This window comes from Homo sapiens, chromosome 5, assembly GCF_000001405.40.
Source record: "Homo sapiens chromosome 5, GRCh38.p14 Primary Assembly".
Classification (NCBI taxonomy): domain Eukaryota; kingdom Metazoa; phylum Chordata; class Mammalia; order Primates; family Hominidae; genus Homo; species Homo sapiens.
In genome coordinates this window covers 7,192,913-7,197,007 of record NC_000005.10, presented here as the reverse complement: position 1 = coordinate 7,197,007, position 4,095 = coordinate 7,192,913, and the positions used below count along the sequence as shown (strand labels likewise).

At 42.5% G+C, this 4,095-nt stretch overlaps 2 annotated features.

Annotated features, from left to right (window-relative positions):
- Nucleotides 2,393–2,954: an enhancer, noted in NCBI's record as "H3K27ac-H3K4me1 hESC enhancer chr5:7194167-7194728 (GRCh37/hg19 assembly coordinates)". NCBI's record gives its function as "activates a minimal SCP1, AML or CMV promoter by ChIP-STARR-seq in primed H9 embryonic stem cells {active_cell/tissue: H9 hESC(primed)}" and the evidence as "EXISTENCE:reporter gene assay evidence [ECO:0000049][PMID:30033119]".
- Nucleotides 2,955–3,518: an enhancer, noted in NCBI's record as "H3K27ac-H3K4me1 hESC enhancer chr5:7193603-7194166 (GRCh37/hg19 assembly coordinates)". NCBI's record gives its function as "activates a minimal SCP1, AML or CMV promoter by ChIP-STARR-seq in primed H9 embryonic stem cells {active_cell/tissue: H9 hESC(primed)}" and the evidence as "EXISTENCE:reporter gene assay evidence [ECO:0000049][PMID:30033119]".

Below are 4,095 nucleotides of genomic sequence, written 5' to 3'. Positions count from 1 at the left end.
GAGGTGTTTGTAGTATTCTCTGATGGTAGTTTGTATTTCTGTGGGATCGGTGGTGATATCCCCTTTATCATTTTTTATCGTGTCTATTTGATTCTTCTCTCTTTTTTTCTTTATTAGGCTTGCTAGTGGTCTATCAATTTTGTTGATCCTTTCAAAAAACCAGCTCCTGGATTCATTGATTTTTTGAAGGGTTTTTTGTGTCTCTATTTCCTTCAGTTCTGCTCTGATTTTAGTTATTTCTTGCCTTCTGCTAGCTTTTGAATGTGTTTGCTCTTGCTTTTCTAGTTCTTTTAATTGTGATGTTAGGGTGTCAATTTTGGATCTTTCCTGCTTTCTCTTGTGGGCATTTAGTGCTATAAATTTCCCTCTACACACTGCTTTGAATGCGTCCCAGAGATTCTGGTATGTTGTGTCTTTGTTCTCATTGGTTTCAAAGAACATCTTTATTTCTGCCTTCATTTCGTTATGTACCCAGTAGTCATTCAGGAGCAGGTTGTTGAGTTTCCATGTAGTTGAGCAGTTTTGAGTGAGATTATTAAACCTGAGTTCTAGTTTGATTGCACTGTGGTCTGAGAGATAGTTTGTTATAATTTCTGTTCTTTTACATTTGCTGAGGAGAGTTTTACATCCAACTATATGGTCAATTTTGGAATAGGTGTGGTGTGGTGCTGAAAAAAATGGATATTCTGTTGATTTGGGGTGGAGAGTTCTGTAGATGACTATTAGGTCCACTTGATGCAGAGCTGAGTTCAATTCCTGGGTATCCTTGTTGACTTTCTGTCTCGTTGATCTGTCTAATGTTGACAGTGGGGTGTTAAAGTCTCCCATTATTAATGTGTGGGAGTCTAAGTCTCTTTGTAGGTCTCTCAGGACTTGCTTTATGAATCTGGGTGCTCCTGTATTGGGTGCATATATATTTAGGATAGTTAGCTCCTCTTGTTGAATTGATCCCTTTACCATTATGTAATGGCCTTCTTTGTCTCTTTTGATCTTTGTTGGTTTCAAGTCTGTTTTATCAGAGACTAGGATTGCAACCCCTGCCTTTTTTTGTTTTCCATTTGCTTGGTAGATCTTCCTCCATCCTTTTATTTTGAGCCTGTGTGTGTCTCTGCACGTGAGATGGGTTTCCTGAATACAGCACACTGATGGGTCTTGACTCTTTATCCAACTTGCCAGTCTGTGTCTTTTAATTGGAGAATTTAGTCCATTTACATTTAAAGTTAATATTGTTATTGTGAATTTGATCCTGTCATTATGATGTTAGCTGGTGATTTTGCTCGTTAGTTGATGCAGTTTCTTCCTAGTCTCGATGGTCTTTACATTTTGGCATGATTTTGCAGCGGCTGGTACGGGTTGTTCCTTTCCATGTTTAGCGCTTCCTTCAGGAGCTCTTTTAGGGCAGGCCTGGTGGTGACAAAATCTCTCAGCATTTGCTTGTCTGTAAAGTATTTTATTTCTCCTTCACTTATGAAGCTTAGTTTGGCTGGATATGAAATTCTGGGTTGAAAATTCTTGTCTTTAAGAATGTTGAATATTGGCCCCCACTCTCTTCTGGCTTGTAGGGTTTCTGCCGAGAGATCTGCTGTTAGTCTGATGGGCTTCCCTTTGAGGGTAACCCGACCTTTCTCTCTGGCTGCCATTAACATTTTTTCCTTCATTTCAACTTTGGTGAATCTGACAATAATGTGTCTTGGAGTTGCTCTTCTCGAGGAGTATCTTTGTGGCGTTCTCTGTATTTCCTGAATCTGAATGTTGGCCTGCCTTGCTAGATTGGGGAAGTTCTCCTGGATAATATCCTGCAGAGTGTTTTCCAACTTGGTTCCATTCTCCGCATCACTTTCAGGTACACCAATCAGACGTAGATTTGGTCTTTTCACATAGTCCCATATTTCTTGGAGGCTTTGCTCATTTCTTTTTATTCTTTTTTCTCTAAACTTCCCTTCTCGCTTCATTTCATTCATTTCATCTTCCATTGCTGATACCCTTTCTTCCAGTTGATCGCATCGGCTCCTGAGGCTTCTGCATTCTTCACGTAGTTCTCGAGCCTTGGTTTTCAGCTCCATCAGCTCCTTTAAGCACTTCTCTGTATTGGTTATTCTAGTTATACATTCTTCTAAATTTTTTTCAAAGTTTTCAACTTCTTTGCCTTTGGTTTGAATGTCCTCCCGTAGCTCAGAGTAATTTGATCGTCTGAAGCCTCTTCTCTCAGCTCGTCAAAATCATTCTCCATCCAGCTTTGTTCCGTTGCTGGTGAGGAACTGCGGTCCTTTGGAGGAGGAGAGGCACTCTGCGTTTTAGAGTTTCCAGTTTTTCTGTTCTGTTTTTTCCCCATCTTTGTGGTTTTATCTACTTTTGGTCTTTGATGATGGTGATGTACAGATGGGTTTTTGGTGTGGATGTCCTTTCTGTTTGTTAGTTTTCCTTCTAACAGACAGGACCCTCAGCTGCAGGTCTGTTGGAATACCCTGCAGTGTGAGGTGTCAGTGTGCCCCTGCTGGGGGGTGCCTCCCAGTTAGGCTGCTCGGGGGTCAGGGGTCAGGGACCCACTTGAGGAGGCAGTCTGCCCGTTCTCAGATCTCCAGCTGCGTGCTGGGAGAACCACTGCTCTCTTCAAAGCTGTGAGACAGGGACATTTAAGTCTGCAGAGGTTACTGCTGTCTTTTTGTTTGTTTGTGCCCTGCCCCCAGAGGTGGTGCCTAGAGAGACAGGCAGGCCTCCTTGAGCTGTGGTGGGCTCCACCCAGTTCGAGCTTCCTGGCTGCTTTGTTTACCTAAGCAAGCCTGGGCAATGGCGGGCGCCCCTCCCCCAGCCTCGCTGCCACCTTGCAGTTTGATCTCAGACTGCTGTGCTAGCAATCAGCGAGATTCCGTGGGCGTAGGACCCTCCAAGCCAGGTGTGGGATATAGTCTCGTGGTGCGCCGTTTTTTAAGCCGGTCTGAAAAGCGCAATATTCGGGTGGGAGTGACCCGATTTTCCAGGTGCGTCTGTCACCCCTTTCTTTGACTCGGAAAGGGAACTCCCTGACCCCTTGCGCTTCCCAGGTGAGGCAATGCCTTGCCCTGCTTCGGCTTGCGCACGGTGAGCACACCCACTGTCCTGCGCCCACTGTCTGGCACTCCCTAGTGAGATGAACCCGGTACCTCAGATGGAAATGCAGAAATCACCTGTCTTCTGCGTCGCTCACGCTGGGAGCTGTAGACCGGAGCTGTTCCTATTCAGCCATCTTGGCTCCTCCCCCCCTTGAATGCACTGTTGATGCCTAAAATTTATTCATTTTTGTTATGGAGCTATGCTGCACCCTTGGTGCCAAGGTTCTTTATAGTTCACATGAGGTTGCTAGACATTATATGATGCCAAGAGCTCTGGAGACAAACATCTTTGATTAGTGATGATTCAAAAGAATGCCCACAGTTATAGTGATGGACAATGGCTGGAATTCAGAAAGAATCATAAAACATTGTAATGAGAGAAGAGTTATTTTATTTCCCTGTAAGTTATATGCTTTTTTTTCAAAATACACCATTGTGAAATAGTTATTCTATCTTCTTAGTCTATGAGTCAAATATTATAACATCAACAAAATTTTCCAAGAAGTTCTAATACAGACAGACAAACCAAAAAGAGATTCTCAGATGGATAATAGAAATACCGTCAACTTCTCAAACCTGTGTGGCCTAAGTAGCTAGCAATGCTACTACTAAGTGGCATTGGCTACTAATATTGTACTAATGTTGGCTAAGGACCCATCTGTGTGCAACTCAGAACTTTTAAAAAGAAAGAACTTTTATTGAAGAATATAAATGGTGGTTCTGTATTTCTAAAAGTGCTAAAATTTTCAAGAAAAAATATACTTTAAAATTTTCTTTTTATTTAAATATAAATTCAGTCACATTTGTGACATTGGTCTTCTGACATTGGATGCCAGGAAACCTTGTTGTTCAGTATTAGTGCTGTAGACACATGGCTGGGAGAAGGTGAGGCGAATGATATCTACACCCTGCCTCTACCTTTTGGAAATAAAACGACAGCAGTAAATTTTCCAGCATCATATATGTGTTCATGATATGCCTGCCCCTCCTCACTTTCTCCTAAAAC